General features: G+C 36.6%; 1 protein-coding gene across 25 annotated transcripts in view; it reads right to left on the reverse strand.

Annotated features, from left to right (window-relative positions):
• The window catches only part of CDC42BPA (CDC42 binding protein kinase alpha), a 328,635-nt gene that overhangs the window by 184,329 nt on the left and 121,989 nt on the right, over positions 1–22,317 (reverse strand). For all 25 annotated transcript variants that reach the window (NM_001366011.1, XM_017002580.3, NM_014826.5 and 22 more), the window contains one exon: positions 19,600–19,748. In NM_001366011.1, coding sequence (NP_001352940.1) covers positions 19,600–19,748 — 149 coding nt within the window. The remainder of the gene's footprint in view (positions 1–19,599; positions 19,749–22,317) is intronic.

Consider the following 22,317-nt stretch of genomic DNA (forward strand, 5'->3'; position numbering starts at 1 on the left):
GAGCATCCATATAACATTACCTATTCTTTAATAGTTTCACAATACTATAAAAATAGTTCCTCCATTAGCAATATGAAAAATTCCAATTTTGAAATGTGACTCAGGCCTGTAAGAGACTGAGAGAATTTTGAGTAAGCCTTAGGCCTCAAAATATTTCTATCTCATTGTAAAAGTAATGATTTTACACATTCCAAGAGGATAACTGCCAAATCATACCCACAAATCTAAGCTGAAAGAGAAGAAATCAGCGCAAAGCTCTGGTATAGGCAAAGCACATACCAATCCTTCATGAAATTCTTATGGGATAACAGATGAAAAACTCTCTAGATATGAATTATGTGGTATTTCCCCCCCAACAAATTCTATTAAAATAGGATTGCTCTATTTCCTATATCGGTACACTTTACTCAACCACATTATATAAAATATTATCAACATTAAAGAGATGAGGTTAATAAAAGCTGTAATCAAAAATCTTGACTATGAAACTACATGAGATAAAAAGAGTTATGAAGAAAACCATAAATAAGTTAACTGGTTTTTCATTTTAGTTTTTTGGACTAGGGTAAAGAAAAATTACTTTAAAAATACATTCCATCCTAAGAATCTATTCAATCCAGTATTTAAGATTTAAAACAAAGATAGGAAAGCACGTATATTCCACTAAGTTTCACTAAGTTTCATGTAACCTGCTTGCCCTCAGGGAGAGATTCTACGCAACAGAAAGCTGGTGTGCCTCAAGCATATGACTCGACTTCTGTTCATTATTTCTCCTTGGTTTGGGGTCTTCATTTTAAAATATAATTTCCATTTTGTGATTCTTTATTCCTTTTTATATTCTGCCATTGATTTATTGCATGCATTCTTATTTCTAATTATCTAAATTCATTATGGAACACAGTGAAGATGAAAGGAATAAATAACTAGATAAATAATTTGATTATCAGGAAATATATTTTCGTGTACATTCCATGCAATCATGACTGATATAACCCCTTTTGGAACTTATATAGAATTCATGGTCTAAATTCCAGATATAACAGCAACTGTTCCTAAAATATGACTTGACAACTGTAGTGCTGTGTTGCAGCAACCTATTAACCAACACCCAGAAAGAAGCCCTTGAAACCACAAGGCTGCAGGTCTAGATGAAGAAAACCTCCAGAGAGACATCATAAAATATATCCACTGAGTACAATAGAAAAAAAGTCATAGTCTATGCCTCTGCAAACTTGAAGTCTAATTTAAATATATATATATATAAATAAATAACTGGATAATGGGTAGTATCCTATACTTTAACACAGCATATGATAAACTACCAAGTAATCATTCATTACATGTACTGTTCATATTTTCAGTTCATCTCCAAGGCACTGAGGCTGGTACAGGTACATTATGCACTCATTAAAACTCATTAATACAGGCACATCTGATGAGTTTCTATTTCTTTCTATTATTATCCCTATTAAATTTGAAATTTTCCCATCTTACGCCACTAGTAACCTTTCCAATTTGACTCCTGTATCCTTCAAACATGACCCTAAAAGTCTTTGAAAGCTTATTTGCTATTTGGCATGACAAGACATACAGGGCTCATCTTGTACACTTCCTATCTAGATCTTGAGTCAGCAATTTCTCCAAGTAGCCTGTTTTCCCTGCAGTAGGAAATCGTATGTGAGGACGATAATCTGTCAATAGGGATGCTCACTGCTACGTGCTGGTCACTGTTTCTAGTTATTTTCACCACACAGAGCTGTATGTATGGTGTACTGGGTGTGTGTATGAAATACTGCAGAAGTTCATACTGACATAAAGTGCAGTGGTGCGATCTTGGCTCACTGCAACCTCCGCCTCCCAGGTTCAAGCGATTCTTGAGCCTCAGCTCCTTGAGTAGCTGGGACTACAGGCGTGTGATACCATACCGGGCTAATTTTTGTATCTGTAGTAGAGACAGGGTTTCACCATGTTAGCCAGGCTGGTCTCGAATTCCTGATCTTAAGTGATCTGCCCGCCTTGGCCTCTCAAAGTGCTAATATTACAGGTGTGAGCCACCATGCCCAGCCCACAATGATATCTTCAATTCAAATTCACGACATTAGGGTTTTTAATGATCTCTTCCAGATTACATCAGCATCTCCTTTCTTCTACACCAAGAATTCTGATTCTTAACATAAGGGATAAAATTAGAATACTCCATAATCATTCTGTTTCATTTCACGTTATAAACACAACAATGTCAAAATAACAGTAACTATACTGTCACCACTAATTTGATTACTGCAAACAGTTTGAAAAAAATTTTATATAAATTCTCCCAATTATCACTACCTACTTTTACAGTTATACTACATGCTCATGCCACAGCATATAGCCATTAATCCTGTGCTCACTCCTTTTAACTTTTTTCTGCTTTAGTTCTACAACTGACTATTTAATGAGCAATACCAGTCCTTATACTGATATCTCTATAGCCATGTTAGTCATCTGAAGCTCATTTTCTAGTAGGTTATACTAGAAAATGTATACTATACTAACTAGTATATATTATTACACTATACTAACTAGATTAGTATCTTCTTCAAGAGGAATTCATGGAAACAACATTCCTAAAATTCTTGTATTTGATAACATTTGTACATGTCTTTTATACCTGAAAGTCTGTTTTGTTCACATTTTCTTTTCTAGGGTATTATAAATCTTTATCATAAAGCTTCATCACTGGGAAGTCTAATGATAAAGTAGTTTTCTCTCCCCTCTAATCCACTGGCTCTTTATGCCCCCTACTTTTTTTTTTAACTTTAAAGGTAAATAATTATTCTAGAATTTGTTTATGCCCTACCTCTCTCGATTATCTCATAGCTGTCATATACATTATGTATTCATTCAATATCCCAAAAAACAACTTTTACTTTAAAGCCATATATTTTAAAGATGTAAGAAAAAAAAAATATATATATATACAGTATTTCATATACACTGAGATATTTACTAATTATTATTCTCTTTCTTCTTTCCTAAAAATCCAGGTTGCCTTCTGCTATCTTTGCCCTACATTCTGAAGTGCTTTTTTCAGCATTTCTTGTAAGGAAGGCCTGAAGCAATGAATTCTTTTGGGTTACCTTTATCTGAAAATGTCTCCCCCTCACCCCCACTTCATTACTGAAGAAAATATCCCCAGATACAGAATACTGCATTGATAGTTTTCTTCCTCTCAATACTCTGAAGATGTTAATTACCTTTTAGCCCCCGTGGTCTTGATGAGAAATCTGAGATCATTCCATTTTTTTTTCCCTGTATGTGATATACTGTTTTCCTCTGGTGCTTTCAAGACTTTTTCTCTATCCATTGTATTCTGTACTTTGATTTTGATGAGCTAGGTGTGGTTTTCCCAGAATTTATGTTGTTTTGGGTTTGCTGCAATTTTCTTCCGTGGGGTGGAGGGCAGGGGAGGGTTCTGGTGCAATTCTAAAAGAGCTGTAACACTATGCAATTTTTTATTCTACAAATTCATGTATTTCTCCAAACATGGGAAGTTTGGAGCTATTATTCTTTTCTGTCCTATTGTCTCTATTCTCTCTACCTGGAACTCCAATTACTTGCATGTTACACCTTTTCATTCCTGAGAATCTGCTCATTTTTTCAATCTTTTTGTCTGTTTTTCATGGGATAATTTTTATTGATCTATATCCAAATTGAATTTGAATATACTTTATTCCTATGTAATCTCCTTTGTCCTCTCAAAGACATTTAATTTTTTTTTCCAATACTGTATTTTTCCGTCCTAAAATTTCCATTTGTTTCTTTTATAGTTTTTATTTTATTGCTGAGATACTTCTATCATGTCTTTCACCTGGAAGAAAACAAATGTGTTTTTCTTGAGTTCATGGAACATATTTAAACTAAATGCTTTAAAGTCTTTGTCCAATAATTCTCATACGTGGATCATCTTGAGTTGCTGGTTTAGCTCTGTGTCCCCACCAAAATCTCATCTTGAACTGTACTCCCAGGATTCCCACATGTTGTGGGAGGGACCCAGTGGGAGATAACTGAATCATGGGGGCAGTTTTCCCCATACTGTTTTCATGATAGTGAATACATCTCATGAGATCTGATGGTTTTATCGGGGATTTCCACTTTTATCAGGGTTTCTCATTCTCTCTTTGCCTGCTGCCATCCATGTAAGATGGGACTTGCTACTCCTAGACTTCCACCATGATTGTGAGGCTTCTCCAGCCACGTGGAACTGTAAGTCCAATTAAACCTCTTTCTTTTATAAATTGCCCAGTCTTGGGGTATGTCTTGTCTTTTTTGTTGTTGTTTTTTGAGATGCAGTTTCACTCTTGTTGCCCAGCCTGGAGTGCAATGGCATGATCTCGGCTCACCACAACCTCTACCTCCCGGATTCAAGTGATTCTCCTGACTCAGCCTCCTGGGTAGCTACGACTACAGGCATGTGCCACCACGCCCAGCTAATGTTGTATTTTTAGTAGAGACGGGGTTTCTCCATGTTGGTCAGGCTGGTCTTGAACTCCCAACCTCAGGTGATCCGCCCACCTTGGCCTCCCAAAATGCTGAGATTACAGACATGAGCCACCAGGCCTGGCCAGATATGTCTTTGTTAGCAGCATGAAAATGGACTAAATACAGTTGCCATTAGTTGTTTTTTCTCTTGAGACTAAATCATAATTTCCTGATAGACTGAGTAATTTTGGACTGCACTGTGTATGCTATGAGCATGTACACTTTTGGTTCTTTCTCAAAACTCTGGAAAATGTTGGTGTCTTAGTCTTACCAGGCAGTCTACCTGGTTGAGATCATATGTCCTGACATATCCTACAACATGACTGAATCTTGAAAACATTATGCTAAGTGAAAAAAGCCACTCAGAAAACCGCGTGTTATATGATTTCATTTATAGGCAATGTCTGGAATAGGCAAATCTACAGAGATAGAAGGTAGACTAATGGTTGCTTAAGGCTGGGGAAATAGGGAAACAGGGTGTAGAGACTTAAGGTATAGAGAAGAGTGTCTTTCTGAAATGATGAAAATATTCTAAAATAGATCATAGTAATGGTTGCAAATATCTGTGAATATACCAAAAACCACTGTACACATTAATGAGTGGACTGTATGGTATATGAATTTATCTCAAAAAGCTATTTTAAGGCCGGGCATGGTGGCTCACGCCTGTAATCCCAGCACTTTGGGAGGCCGAGGCGGGCGGATCACAAGGTCAGGAGATTGAGACCATCCTGGCTAACATGGTGAAACTCCGTCTCTACTAAAAATACAAAAAATTAGCCGGGCGTGGTGGTGGGCACCTGTAGTCCCAGCTACTCAGGAGGCTGAGGCAGGAGAATGGCGTCAACCCGGGAGGTGGAGCTTGCAGTGAGCCGAGATTGTGCCACTGCACTCCAGCCTGGGCAACAGAGCGAGCCTCCATCTCAAAAAAAAAAAAAAAAAAAAAAAAAGCTATTTTAAAAGACTATTTACAATTTAATCTCACAATAATTTTTAATGAGGATCCACTGAATACCACTGGCAAGTTATACAAAAAGGTAGACATCTTTCCTCCAAAGGGCAAAAAAGTTTGAAAAAAAAAAAGTCTTAAGAAGTAGTAATATATAAATGACTACTATTAATATTAACTATCAAGGATAATATCTAGTGTTATTATGATTAAAGCTAATAAAGAAAAGTTCACCATTTTTAGATCATTTTTTAAAACTGCCTTTGGACAGGATGCGGAGGTTCACGCCTGTAATCCCAGTACTTTGGGAGGCCATGGAGGGCGGATCACTGGGGTTAGGAGTTCAAGACCAGCCTGGCCAACATGGTGAAACCTGTCTCTACTAAAAATACAAAACTTAGCCGGGCATGGTGGCACAAACCTGTAATCCAAGCTACTCAGGAGGCTGAGGCACGAGACTCGCTTGAACGCAGGAGGCAGATGTTGCAGTGAACCAAGATCATGCCACTGCACTCCAGCCTGGGTGACAGAGTGAGATTCCGTCATAAATCAATCAATCAATCAATCAATCTGCCTTTGAAGGGTTTAAAATAAAGAAGGAATTCTCAATTTTTTCCAAAAAGCTGTTAAATATTCTACTATTTCCACTAAGAACTTTTCAAAAAAAAATTAATATAAAATTTCATTTTATGAAATGACAGGTGATCTAAGAAAAGAAACTGTTATCCTCTCTAATACACAAGCTTAAAGCATTATATATTTTACAACAATAAAGATTCTCTTTAACAGACCAATACGCCAACCAGCAATGACCCTTCTCAATCAAAATGGCTTCTAATAGGGTCCTTCCAGTTTGAAGGCAAAGTGTGCAACATTGTTTAAATGGTGATATTGTAGGAAACTATACCACAAACAGAATCAAGGTAAGATCTAAGTCACTGAAGGACACACAATATCAGTTGGTAACATTTTGGTGCCAGAAGCCAGAATCAACATTCTGACTATCTATGTAAATTATCTACGTAGTGCTGAAAAACACCACAAAAGTTCCTCATCTTCCCATTTTTGTCATCTAAAACTGAAGCGCATGATAATCGAACATAACATTCTAATCAGATGAAACTTAGTTTTTCTTTCTTGTTCTAGTAGGATTCTGTGTCTTAAATCATTAGCATTTTTGAAGTTATAGTTCACAATCTAAATAGCAAGTCTAGTGCTGAGTTTAAACATGGTTAGAAATAACTTGGGGCCTTTTTTTTTTTCAACCTGAAATTAGGCCTTACATTACCACAACCTATTTGGCATAAACTTTAATCAACCTTAATCAGACATACCACATGATGCTGTTAAGTCATTAGAAATAACCTCTACTCCCAAATTTTGTATTTGAACAAAAAAATAATTGAAAAGAAAGGGTACACCCTTAAAATGCAAACTGCCTATGCAGCAAATCAAAAACAGTAATGCTAGGATTCAAACTTTCAGCTGAAATTAAAGTGCATCTATTCACTTTACAGATGCATAGTGCATAGATGCACAAATCTAAGTTTACAGATAATTGAAAAAAAGATATGACTGCCAAAATAGTATTTCAATTAACACAGGGAAAAAAACCCACCATTTTGTTAAAAAGCATAAAGATGGACATATTTTCATAATATTAAGATCTTCATATTGCATTTTTCTATGTATTCAAGTGACATCTTTAACATTAAAATAATGATAAAATATTATTTCAGAACCTCAATGGTCATTTTTTGTACATATTATTTACTTTGGTCCTCCTTCTTTAAGCTATTTCAATTTTTTGAAGTATCTTCTTCCTATGATAAACATGGCTTTTTCCAAGAGATCTTCCTGATTCACTTGTTCATCTACTATTTTCTTTTATTTTATATGGAGACGTAAAAATAGTTTTTGCAGCTTTTTGTTTTAAACCTGTTTTGGTTGTCGCTTACTCTCTATTATAACAGTTAATCTTCAAGTAGCTCCTCTAAAGAGTATTTCCTCCAGTTCTATGGCACCTCTTACCCAAGAAAATAGCTAGAATATCAGGAAAAACTGTACAGCCTAATACGTTCATGATAAATGAATGAATTTACAAAATTAAAATTGAGATGAACATCTGTCCAACTTGGGCACAACTATGAAGTAGAAGTATTTTCTTAAGCTTTTATCATTTCCCCAAAGACAGTAAATTGAAGGTAAAAAGTATATTACTTACATAAAAGCAGGCAATACCCTACAGCCTTCCCTACTTCAACCTCCAACACCCAGGACACTAGCATCCACAGGAAAAACATAATAAATGTTTGCCTGAAATGCATCCATTAAGACATTAATGTAATTAAATATAAGGGGAAAATGATTACTTTTATTTTCCGTAAGACATTGTAGGTATGCTCTCAGCTATCATGATTTTCCTCCTAACCTCTGACTGCTCCTTCTTAGTTTTCTTTATTGGCTACTCTTAATCTATCCAGTCTCTAACACCTGGAGTCCTCATGGCTCATCGGTCCTGCACTCTCTTTATTACCTACTCTGTTTCGCAAAGTGAATTCATCTTATCCCATGATTTGCATAGCATCTACATGTTAATAACACCCAAAAGTTTGAATTACAGATCCCAGCCTTATAGCTGGTAAGAAAAATCACTTCCTTGTAGGCCAAAGAGCCTAACCAAATTTGGCAATCTTGAGGAACTCACCAAATTTATATGCACTGCAGGTGAAATATAAGGTACAGAATTTCTTGGGCTTGGTTTCCAGTCTTTAGAAAAGCAAGTCATAGAGGCCCTTCCTTTTCCTAAAAATTTTTATTTTGAAATAATAGGCTCACAGGAAATTGAAAAATAGTTCAATGAATCCCTTGTACTCTTCCACCAGCTTCCCCCAATGGTAACATATGATAACTGTAGCACAATATAAAACAAAAAAATTGACAATGGTACATTAGTGTTAGACTAGACCTTATTTCAGTTTTCACCCTCTGATAATTAATATTAGGTGTCAGTGTGACTGGATTGAAGGATGCCTAATTGGCTGGTAAAGTATTGTATCTGGGTGTGTTTGTGACAGTGTTACCAGAGGAAACTGACATTTGAGTCAACGGACTGAAAGAGGAAGACCCACCCTCAATGTGGGCAAGCAGGTGTTAGAAGGTGGGATAATTCTGCTTGCTGAGTCTTCTGGCTCTTTCTTCTTCCAGTGCATGAAGCCTGCTTCCGCTTTCCCTGCCCTGGGACATCAGACTCCAGGTTCACCAGCCTTTGGACTTGCACCAGCAGCTTCCCGGGGAATCTCAGGACTTCAGCCACAGACTGAAGGCTGCCATGTCGGCTTCCCTGGTTTTCCGGCTTTCAAACTCGGACTGAGCCATTACTGGCTTCTCTCTTTCCCCAGCTTGCAGATATCCTATCATAGGACTTCACCTTGTAATCGTGTCAGTTAATTCTCCCTAACTGACTCCCTTTTATATATACATATATCCTACTGGTTCTGTCTCTCTGGAGAAGCCTAGTACATGCCATTTTAAAAATGTACATGTGTGTACATGTATAGTTCTGTGCAATTTTATCTTGTGTATAGATTCATGTAACTACCACCACAATCACAATATATAACTGTTCCATTATCACAAAAGAACTCCCTCACACTGACTGCCTCTTTGTATTTCTACTTACTCCCCCATTCATTTTCCCCAGGCCCTGTCCCCTGGAAATTATTCATCTGTTCTCTATCTCTGTAATTTTGTCATTCAAGTATGTTATATAAATGGAAACATACAGTATGTAACATTTTGAGATTTAATTCTTCTCACAAAGCATAACACCCTTGAGGCCCCTCCGGGTTATTGTATATATCAGAAGTTCATTCCTTTTTATTGTTCAGTAGTACTCCACTGCATGGATATACCAGTTTTGTTAACTATTCACCCACTGAAGGATACCTGTGTTGTTTCCGGTATTCTGCTATTACAAATAAAGCCTCTATGAACACACAAGTACAGATTTTTCTGTGAATATAAATCTTGACTTGTCTGGGATAAATGCTCAAGAATGTAACTGACAGGTCAGATCATGTTACATGCTTAACTTCTTTTAAAAAATGTCCAACTGTCTTCCAAAGTAGCTGTGCCATTTTCTATTTCTACCAGCAACATGTAAGAGATCCACTTTCTCCATATCCTTGCTAGCATTTAGTATTAGCTACTTTTTATTTTAACTGTTCAAACAGGTGGGTAATAATATCTCATTATGGTTTTAACTGGCATTTTCGTAAAATTCAATATCAGTATATTGAACATCTTTTCATGTGCTTACTTGCCATCTCTATCTCCTCTTGGGTGAAATGTCTATTGTCTTTTCCCTATTTTGTAATTAGATTGCTTGGGCTTTTTAATTGTATTTTGAGAGTTCTTTATATAGTCTAGATATAAAACCTTTGTAAGGTATGTTGACAACTATTTTCTCCCACTTTGTAGCTTGTCTTTTTATAGTCTTACCAGGGTCTTTCATTGAGCACATAATTTTAATTTTAATGAAGTCCCATTTATTCATTTTTATTGATTTTTTTTGTCATATCTAAAAACTCCTTACCAAGCCCTAGATCCAGAAAATGTTCTCCAATATTTTCTTCCAACAGTTTTATAGTTTTATGTTGTACATTTAAATCCATGACCCATTTTGAATTAATTTTTGTATTTATGAGAGCTTTGGGGAAGTTATTTGGGGTTTTTTTTTTGGTCTCTTATTTGAGCACCATTTGTTCAAGATTATTTTTGCTTTTGCACCTTTCTCAAAATCAGTTGAAAATACCTCTGTTAGCCTACATCTGGGCTTGCTAATGTCGTCCAATGATCTGTGTGTTTATTACATCGCAATTATCTCATGGTCCTGCTTAAGGTGGCAATATAGCATGGCTTAATATCTGGTAGAGTGATTCTTTCCACTTTATTCTCCTTTTTCAAAATCTGTTTAACTACTCCAGTTCTATTGCCTTTCCATATAAAATTTAAAATAAGCTTGTCTCTATCTAAAGGAATCTTGCTAGGATTTTGAGAGACTGCAATAAACCTATAGATTTGCCACCTCATGAAAGAACATGAAAAAAAAATAAAGAATAAAGACTAAGTCTGTAGATCAATTTGGGAAGAACTGACATCTTTAATGCTTAAAGCATTTCAAATCTACTAGCCACTCATTATTTCTACTTCCTCCAAACAATATGCACCAGTATTATTAGCTGCTCTACTAATACCATTTTTCTTCACTCCTCAATACCACTGCATCATTTCCCTGCCTCCTTCAAAAGGGAGAAGGCTACTGGGGTAATTCTCAGTAGAAAATAATAGTAATAGCCCCTTTGAGTGTTTATCTTTATAACATCATACCGTTCTTAGGTTTCTCAATAAAATAACAAGCTGTTATTTTTCCAGCTAGTCATTTAACACTTTAATTAGCATCTTTGGAAATCTTTTCATCTTTACAAGAAATTTTTTTTTTTAAAAAAACAAAGTTCTTGGTTGCTGTACCCTCAATTGAGGTAGGAGTTATTAAGAAATTATTTTAGGCACATAGGAAAAAAAGGGGTCCTTGGAAGATTTTTCGCAGCTCTTATCTAGAATGAAAGCCTTGGGTCTTAGACCCGGGCTGGCAACCTTTGATATGCAAATGTTAGCCATTAGAAACTGGGTCCACCTAACATGGCGATTCCCACCGTTGTCCTCTTGCCCTTGCCCCCACATGTGCCTGGCAGTATGGCTGCCCCTACATATCCCCACGTGTTTGGAACATCATGGTGCCCCGCATTTGCATATTAAAAAGAGAGGGTGGGAGGGCCAGTTTTTTCGCCGGCTACGTGAATGACATGCCTGGTCAAACCAATGCCCTGAGCTCTATGCAAATCAGACACTGCCTCCTCCAGCCTTCCAGTATAGCTGGTTGATACTACCTGAAAGTGGGGTTCTGTCTCTTGGCTTTGGAGCCCCCCTCCCTCTGTCTCTGTAGAGGCGAGCTTTTTCTTTCTTTCCTCCCCCTTCTCTCTTGCCTATTAAACTCCCTGCTCCTTAAAACTACTCCACGTGTGTCCATGTCGTTTTTTTTCTAATTCAACTTAAGAGGAAGAATCTGGTGTTCCTCCACTCATCAGAGCCGTATCACAATGATAAAACATGTTGTTTTGAAATCTAAGTTTTAAAAGATTATGGGGAGACTTCCACTTCCAGTATGTAAGGAGTCCAGAAGTCACCACAGCATCCTAACAAAAAGTAAAAACCTGAACAAACTGAAAAATCAACAACTCTTCTTAGATATGTAAGAGAAGTAAGGTCACAGGGCAAACTGTTGTCCCCAAATTGGACAGACAGGTGGCTATGGAGAATCACAACTTGGCAGTTTAAAAACCCACAGCAGAAACCTTGCAGAGAACCAGTGCCTGGTTAGGAAAACCTAAACTGTGACTGAAGAATTGCTGGAGGTTCAGTGTGGACAAGCCTGAAAGATTAAAAACTCCAAAGGCAGCCCAGTCATAGGGAGGCCGCACATTTATTTTTGAGTTTTACCACTAAGAGCTCAACCAGGTCCTCATAGTGAATACCAGAGAAACATACCCTCATGCTTCCAACAGAGGGAGGAGAAAAGAGAATATCTGCTGCATTCTGAAATATGCCAGAGTATTCTCTTCTTAAGAAGGCCTGCCCTCAGGAGAAACTATTTTAACAGAGCCTAATCTGTTTGGAATTTTTCAGAGCCTAACCTGCTGGGGTATTATCAGAGACTAACCTACCAGAAGGAGGGGCAATACCCAAGTCTGGCACCTTCTAGCCATCCTGTCCCAACTAAGCAGGAAGGCAGGAAGGGAGGTACAGAGGTGGCAGGGGTACTGAGAAGCTGAGAAGCCCTGGTGTTCACTGTGCAGTCTCAAAGCCTCACTAAAGATTGGGACCTAATCATAGGACCACAGAATGGCCCCTTACCAACACATACATGCACACACACGCCCCTTGCCACTACATCACTCAAGGCCCACTTACTGCAATTCCTTTTGCCCAATACATTGAGAAAAGAAAAAGAGCTCAAAGCAGTCTGAGCTATGTGAGGCATGCAAAATTTAGTAGGCCCAGAGAGACATGAATATGGGACTTCAGTCACTGGCCCCTCAAACCCAGGGGCAATTGTTTGAAGGCATTTTACTGGCTACCTGTCTCACCCATCGTCTTCTCGTTCCTGGAGTTTGTGATACAAAGAACGAATGTATAGCTAACCAAGAGCTTCTGATATTTTAATGTAAATTCTTGGTAACAACTTAGGAACTGCCTTTTCTTTTTTCCTTAAAAACCCACTTGTAACACTGCTAATCAGAATGTATATTCAAGGCAAATAGAATCTATGCTCTCTGGTGGCCATCCTCAAGCTTTGGGCTCAAAGTCTATACTTATTTTCTAATCTTGTTATTTAAGGTTAACAACATCATATCTGTCTTTCAACAAAAAATTACAAGGCATACTAAAAACGGGACAGAGACTGGACAGACATCAGAATGAGAGTCAGATATGGCAACAATGTTGCAATTATCAGACCAGGAATTTTAAAAACTATTATTAATATGTTAAAGATTTTATGGTTAAAGTAGGCAACACTCAAGAACAGATAAATAAGATGGAAAGTCTAAGAAAGAATCAGAAATGCTAGAGATCAAAAACACTAACAGAAATAAATAATATTTTTGATGAGCTCATTAGTAGACTAGACACCACTTAGAAAAGAATCTCTGAGCTTGAGAATATAATAGAAACTTCAAAATGAAAAAAGCAAAGAGAAGACTGGAAAAAAAAAAAAAAACAGAACAGAATATCCAAGAACTGTGGGATTACTACAAAAGGTATAAGTTACATGTAATGGGAATACCAGAAGGAAATGGAATGAAGCAATAATGTCTGATAATTCCCCAAAATTTTCCTACATCAAACCACAGAGCCAGGAAATTCAAAAAATATCAAGAAGGATAAATGGCACCCCCCACCCCCCCCCCAAAAAAAAAAAACTATACCTAGGCACACCATTTTCAAACTACAGAATATAAAAAAATAAAGAAAAAAACCCTGAAAGAAGCCAGAGGAAAAAAACACCTTATGCATAGAGGAACAAAGATAAGAATTATATCTGATTCCTTAAAAATCATGCAAGTAAGAAGAGAGTGAAGTGAAATATTTAAAAGAAAAAAAAAGCCTCACCAACCTATGATTTCATATACTGCAGAATTATCCTTCAAAAGTGAAAGAGAAATACATTCTCAGACAAACAAAAACTGAGGGGATTTGTTGCCAGGAAAACTATATTTCAGGAAAAATTGAAAAGTTCTTCAAAAAGAAGAAAAATGATACAAATCAGAAACAGAACTATGTAAAGAGAGGAACAGCATCAGAGAATGAATAAGTGAAGGTAAAATAAAAACTTTTACCTTTTATTTTTAATTAGTCTAAAAGATAACAGTTTGATCAAAAGAATGCCAACAATGTACTCAAATATGAATTATTACTTATGCATGAAATAAATGACAGCAATGATACAAGGGACAAGAACAAGGAATTAGGATTATTCTGTTATTACAAGGTACTTCACTACCTATGAAGCAGTACCATGTCATTTCAAAGTGGGCTGAGATTAGTTGTAAATTTATATTGCAAACTCTAGGGTAACCATTAAGAAAAGTTAAAAAATAGAAGTATAATTGAAATGCTAAAAAGAGAGAGAGGGAAAAAAAAAAAGCAATCATATAAAATGCAGCTTCATTCACAATTCCCAAAACTTAGAAGCAACCAAGATGTCCTTAAGTAGGTAAATGGAAAACTATGGTACATGCCGACAATAGAATGTTACTCACTAAAAAGAAATGAGCTATCAAACCTTAAATATTGCTAAGCGAGAGAAGCCAATCTGAAAAGTCTATAAACTGTACGATTCCAACTATATGATATTCTGGAAAAGGCAAACCTATGAGACAGTAAAAAGATCAGTCATGTCCAGGGGTTAGCGGGAAGGGAGGAATAAAGAGGTGGAACACAGAGCATTTTTAGGGCAGTGAAATTATTCCGCATAATACTATTATGGCGGATACACGTTGTTCTGCATTTGTCAAAGCCTACAGAACGTACAACACCAACAGAGAACACGAATGTAAACATGTAAACTATGGACTTAGGTGATAATGAAGGGTCATTGATGTTAACAAATGTGCCACACTCTGGTAAGGCATGTTGATAGTGGGGGAGGCTGTGCGTGTGTGTGTGTGGTGGGCGGGAGTAGATATAAGGGGAACTCTATACTTTCCACTCAATTTTTCTAAGATCCTAAAACTGCTCTAAATAAGGAAGTTTACTGATTTAAAAAGTATATATGAAAAGGGTATTCACTTAGAAATTGAGCTTTCATTCCTATCCCTGTCCATCCCACTTTCTCTCCACCCTACTCTCTTTAGGCAACCATTTTTACAACTGCCGGTGTATCCCAGTTGTAAAACTTTCCTTAGGAAATGCAAGCAAATTTAGAAATATATGCTTATACCCCTGCATTTCTTAAATAAAATTTAGCACACACAAAAGCTTATGAAAAATACTGCCCAAAGAAAGGAAGGGAAAATCAGAAATGAAAACTAAGTAAGAGTAAGAAATATTCTCAATAGACCTAGACAGAAAAATGTATTTAGAATTATAGAACCAAAGGATGAAACTATCTTATTTATAATAATTTTAATGCCTCAAATTTATAATGCAAAAAGATGTTTCCCTAATTGCAATGGCATATTGTCTATACTGTCAAAACACTTTCATATACACATTTCATCTCACCTTCCCAATAGTCTGGCAAAACAAGCAGAGTAAACATTATTTATTATCCTCCTTTAACACATGGGGAATCTGATAGGTGATGGAATTAAATCTTCTGATTCCTAGTCCAGTGCTTTTTGGCTACTCAATGTTATTAGAAAATATTTTACTTTAATTATTCGTACCATTTGCTATTTTCCATTGCTCTTGTTAAACCTTTGTGCAAATTTTTTCATATGCGAGTTTTTGTGCTGATAGAAGACAAACAACATACTTTTACAAGTCTAGAAATATATTTCCTTAAAAAGAACACAAGAAAAAGGAGAGTATCTCCTTCCTTAAACACAACAGTCTCACTAGTCCCTTGTTGTATTCTCCACATCCCTATATTTTAAGTTCATGAATTATAACACATTTGGAAATTTGATAAATTTCATAAAACTCTAAGACATGAAGTTTACCTTCAAATTTCATTGCCTGAAATTCATTGTAGTTTATTAGCTACCAAGATACAAAGTCTGTGACATTCAAGAGTTCCATGATAAGAACCAAAATCTCTTTACAAATTAATCTCCTACTAAACTCAACATGAACTCTTTTCTCTAGCCAAACTAGTCTATTAAGTATTTTCCAAAACTACTATTTACCTTCTTATGTGCTTTTCTCCTACCATTCACCTATCTTGAATGTCTTCCTATCTGCCTACAGAGTCTTCTCATCCTTCAAAGCCCCTCCATTAAAGTCTTCTATGGAAAACATGATGTTGTGCAAAGAACATAAATCTGGAGACAAGCCTGACTTAGATTTTAATCTAGGCTATGCTACTTACTAACTAATGTCTCTGAAGCTGGGTTTCCTCATCTATAAAATGGGGCAACGTCGATTTTAGATGACATCTGAATCACAGAATTTGTGTTAGAATACAGTGAATAGCACAAAGAGTTAAATAAGGATTAGAACTGATCATTAGAAATAAACTTATTACTCATTTCTTGAGCTCACTGTAATTTGCTTGTATAACTCATTTAGCAATCCACAGTCTGGACTCACTCCATCATCTCTTATACTTTGGCCTTAAATGATTATTTAACTTGTGGTATTTTAAGTTTTATTTCTATCTTAGGTTTTGTGCCTCCAAACAACTGAAACCTTTTCAAAAGCCACAACTATATGCTATACCCACTTACTTACAATTCCACATAGTTTAGCACAATGTTACTTATAAAAGAGGACTCAAAAAATATTTCCTCAGTAAAGCATTTGCTGAAAATAGTCTATCCAGAAAATGAGAATAACATTTTAAGGAGCACATTAACACAATGGAGCATCCACAGAAAGGTAAAAGTAGAGAAAAGGAGGGAGGGAGAAGAGGTGTAGGAATGGGCAGAGTGTGTGGTGGGGGGTTAAGACAAGGAAGGTAGGAAGTGTATACAAATTGTTATAACAGAGAAACTAGAGATGTTTAGATGTTTAACCTAAAGAAGACTTCAGAAAGCATGATAACTAGAAGAGAAATAAATTATATGTGACTCTAAAAGCAAAACTAGAACCAATGACTAAAATAAAAAGAAATTCAAGGCCGGGCACGGTGGCTCATGCCTGTAATCCCAGCACTTTCAGAGGCTGAGGCGGGAAGATCACCTGAGGTAGGGAGTTCGAGACCAACCCGACCAACATGGAGAAAACCCACCTCTACTAAAAGCACAAAAAATTAGCCAGGCTTCATGGCGCATGACTGTAATCCCAGCTACTCAGGAGGCTGAGGCAGAAGAATCGCTTGAACCCAGGAGGCGGAGGCTGCAGTGAGCCAAGATCGCACCACGGCACTCCAGCTTGGGCAACAAGAGCAAAACTCTGTCTCAAAAAAAAGAGAAGAGAAGAAATTCAGCTTAATATAAAATAAAATTTTATAATATTAGAGCTGCCCAACAATGGAATAAATACGATTCATTTAAAAGTACCTTGTAAAATTAGATGTACTTAAGCAGAGCTCAAGGTTGAAATGGTTTTCAGTCCACATAACAGTATCTCTAACAAGCCTGGCAGAATGAAAGATACTACAAATACCTCATATTTACTTTCACCAATCTAGGCATATAATTTTCAGAAGCAGTTATTCCTTCTCAAGAATTACATATAAACTGGGTGAAATCTCTCAATTCCACAAGCCTAAGACTCTATGTTTAGTAACATTCTTCAAATATTCAACGAAATAGTATTTTCTGTAAGTATTTTTAAATGATAGTCCTCAGCTAGGATTTTGGATTACTGTTTAAGCCACAAAATAGCACTTTCGTTTCTCATTCTATAACTGACTCTTGAGACCACAATACCATCTTTAAGGCTGCACTGTGGCAAGAAGTGGTAGCTATGCCTGTAATCCCAACACTTTGGGAGGCTGAGGTGGCAGGATCACTTGAGTCCAGGAGTTCAAGACCAGCCTGAGCAACACAGTGAGACCCCCATCTCTACAAAAATTTAAATTAAAAAAAAAAAACTGCATTGTACAATTTTCAAAGCATTTCCATATCTTTATTTTCAATAAAAACTGTGACAATCAGATACCCACAGAGAAAAGCACACGAATAGGCAAAAGCCAAACAGAGATCTGATAAAATACAAATTGTTTAATTAAAGTAGTCTTCCTTTAATAATGTCTTAGAACTTCAATACTAATTAAATGAAACAGCAATTAAGACACCCACATCTTAAAAAGCAAACACTGAAACAGAAACATTCTACTCCTTGCCACATTCATGTTCTTCTCAGAGATCACTCTCACCACCCAAAACTTAAAAGAAACAGTCACTGCTGTCTTAGAGCATAGTTCTGAGTGTGGTCACTACACCAGCAGCAGCATCACCACCTGGCAACTTGTTAGAGATGGCAATTCCCCAGCCCGACCCAACCCACTGAATCAGCACTTCTGCAGCTGACTCAACAATCTGGGTTTCAACCACCCTTCCTCCATAGGATTCAGATGCATGCCAAAGTTTGAAAATCACTCTTAGAAAATGGTTTAGTTTATTTCTAACTTGGCAGTATCCCTTTACGTACTTCTCCTCAGCATCTTTCTCTTTCTCACATTTTGCACCATCCAAAGATACTCTCATTTGAATGATTAATTCACCAACAACGTTCTGCTGTTTCCTACTTTCCTCTTAAAATGTGAGGGTACCTTTTAAATCATCCAATATATCCTTAATTTATTTCTTATTTTTTGTGTGTCCTTCCAAATTCATGCTGGTATTTTTAAAATTTTTAAATATAAAGTATTAATAGTTTATAATTACTCCATGAACATCAAAATTATCACTTTCATACAAAAAAAATCTCTTTTGACACATACAATCCTTGAAAGTATTTTCTTGAGAAACATAAAATATATAATACAGGACTTATTTAGCAAATGAACCTATGACTTATGGTCTAGAATTCCAGCTAATTTAAATATGTAAGACTCAACTATAAGGAAACTGACCAATGCATACTCCTTTTGAGATGGAATTCATATGTACATTTAAACAAGAGTGGTTTTTTAAGAAGTGATTTCTAGAAATGCTGACTGGAAGTGAGAACTTTTTTTTTTTTTTTTTTTTTTGGAGACAGAGTCTCGCTCTGTCACCCAGGCTGGAGTGCAGTGGCGGGATCTCGGCTCACTGCAAGCTCCGCCTCCCGGGTTCACGCCATTCTCCTGCCTCAGCCTCTCCGAGTAGCTGGGACTACAGGTGCCCGCCACCACGCCCGGCTAATTTTTTTTTGTATTTTTAGTAGAGACGGAGTTTCACCGTGGTCTCGATCTCCTGACCTCGTAATCTGCCCGCCTTGACCTCCCAAAGTGCTGGGATTACAAGCGTGAGCAACCGTGACCGGCCGAGAACTTTTTTTTTCATAGATTTAGGGGGTACAAGTGCAGCTTTGTTACATGGACATATTGTGTGGTTGTGAGTTATGCAATATAGTGTACCCATCACTTGAATAGTGTACCCTGTACCCATAGGTAATTTCTCATCCCTCACCTCCTCCCACCTTTCCTAGTCTCCAATGTCTATTATTCTAGGAGTGACAACTTTTAGATACTATACATGTACATGTATGTATAAGCAGGCACATCGGTTCTGTAATGCTGACAAATAATAACAACAACAAAGCAAAACAACCAAAATCATCTCAAAATAATTTTTTTTGGTTGACGATAAATGTATCCAAGACCATAATTAATAAATCTGGCAAGAAATAGGCCTCTGTTGCTAGATATTACATGGTAACTCACAGCCAGGTACAATGAAGGACTGTTTTACCTGTGTACATAATGTAGCTGATGAACTGAGTCAATTGCTATCACCATCTCAGCCAAGTAAAATCTAGCCATATCTTCAGGCAATCTATCTTCAAATTTGCTGAGTAGAGTAAGCAAATCCCCACCAACATAATAATCCATAACCAGGTACTGTGAATGAAAAAAATAAAATGTACTCAGTAAACTAATAAGGGTGAAAAATCAATATACTGTATCCCAAGGTCAACAGGACTGGGTCAAATATTTATGCAGTTAATTACATATGCTGCTAATTAACAAGAAACTGTGTAAGATGATGATCAGCAGTCATTACAAAACTTCTAAATTTCATACAGCAGTAAAACAAAATTTTTAAAGACTGGGGCAGAGAACAACACAGGGTTACCATTGTTGTATTTTGCAAAGAGCTAATATCATCATTATTATCATCTTCACCTACAACAATGGAACACAGCTTTCCAAGATTTTAGAAGAATGAACATTTGAATCCACCCCCTCCCCCAAAAAAACAATGAAAGAAAAAACTTGGAATACAGGATAGTCCCTACATTGAAAGAAATTCATATTATCATTATGTTTTCCTTATTTCACCTTGGATCAGTAAGAACTTTATTAGAACCAGCATCAGCCTATAGATCAGCATTTAGAAACCACTACTACGTAGAATATAGTAATTATCACCATATGTGTCTCTTCCCATTTCTAATACTGTAAAAATATCAGAATGGGCTTTTCTCAGGTGTATATAATAAACAGAAGCCAACTAATTTTAGATATGGATCCTTATGGGTATGTATGTGGTGTAAAGAAACGATGAGAAGAGTACATCAAACTGTTCACTGAGATTCTGTAGGTTGTTAGATTACAGCTGATGTTATAACTTTATGTTCTACATTGCTTTATAAGCATGTATTACATATACATGTGTATTTGTGTGTACATTATATATTATTTTTAAGTGAGGGAGAAAACTAGACATAGTGGAAAAATGGGTTTTGTAGTCAGAGAAACCTGTATTCAAATACTGACTCCATGTTGTAAGTGGATGTTGAAAAATTAATCTCTGTGACATTTCATTTTCTCATCTACCTAACTACAATAATGATAATGTAGCACTTAGCATGAAGGCTAGTGAGTACAAGACACATGAATGCCTTGAAATTAAGGTTTTATTACAGAATGAAGATATTGTTTCAGGGATATTACTGAGTTGACATTAAGATTTAAAGAGTCTTGAAAAAATTCAAATTCCTTTTATTACTATATGTTAAAATTACAAACATAGGAAATGTGTGTTAAACCAAAGAAACTAATTTCGCATATTTAAAGCCTTGAAAATTAGGGAAGCAGAATATATTTAAAATCCTGTGTCTTTGGCCTACTTGCTGTATTTACTAGGCCCAACGTTTTTGTTTGTTTGTTTGTTTTGAGACAGAGTCTTGCTCTGTCGCCAGGCTGGAGTGCAGTGGCGCAATCTTGGTTCACTGCAACCCCTGCCTCCTGGGTTCAAGTGATTCTCATGCCTCAGCTTCCCAAGTAGCTGGGATTACAGGCACGCACCACCACACCCAGCTAATTTTTGTATTTTTAGTAGAGACGGGGTTTCACCACGTTGCCCAGGATGGTCTTGATCTCCTGACCTGGACGTCCCAAAGTGCTGGGATTACAGGCGTGAGCCACCACGTCGGGGTACCCTAACGTTGAACTGACCCTATCCTGACAATTTACTTTTGATTAAAGTGTGAAGACTATTTTCTTATAGACAGAGTCTATAAGACTAAAAGTCTAAAGTAACAGTTAAATAATCCATTCTTTCTCCTCAATTCAAATGAAATGTCCCTTCGTCATATTTTAAGATCCCAAATATACTTATATCTGTTCCTAATCTATTCTGCTATGGTTACCTATTCCTATATTATTATATCATATTGTTCTGATTGGTTAATTTTATAGTAAAATTGAATATTTGGTACTCCTAATCACAAACTACTTTTAAAATATTACCCAATGTAGCTAAGGTATATTTATACAAGTTTTTAAAAAACATAGACTGAGAGGTAATATTCATAATAGGTCAAGGATATAATCCTAAAATAAAGAGCCCCTTCCAATTGTTAAGAGAGGGACAAACAATCCAACAAAACTAGGCTAAGAATATTAACAGATAATTCACATAAGAGGGAACACAATCAGCCAATTAATACATGCTGAACCTCAATAGTCACTAGGGAAATGAAAGCCAAAGCAACAATCATTGATTTGAGGAATCACTGGTTAAATTACTAAAAAGACCATGGCAGCTTTGGGGATTTTTTTTTTAAAAGAGCTCCAGTCCAATGAAACAATGCTAAAACATCTGAAAACATGCAATAAATGAGTTATGTGTCCCAAAATGAGCATTTCAAGGAACAGATATAATTCTAGAAGTCTTCGTAGGAATATCAGGAAACTCTTTTAATTCTCATGCTGCCATAACAAAGAGATTAACAGTCAATCTTTAGAGCCTCACCTTATAGTTAATCCTCCTTGCTTTCTTTTTACTATTAAACAATACTTTTTTTTTTTTTTTTTTTGAGACAGAGTCTCCCTCTGTTGCCCAGGCTGGAGTGCAGTGGCGTGACCTCAGCTCACTGCAAGCTCCGCCTCCAGGGTTCAGGCCATCCTCCTGCCTCAGCCTCCCCAGTACCTGGGACTACAGGCGCCCACCACCACACCCGGC

This window comes from Homo sapiens, chromosome 1 (genome assembly GCF_000001405.40).
Source record: "Homo sapiens chromosome 1, GRCh38.p14 Primary Assembly".
Taxonomy (NCBI): domain Eukaryota; kingdom Metazoa; phylum Chordata; class Mammalia; order Primates; family Hominidae; genus Homo; species Homo sapiens.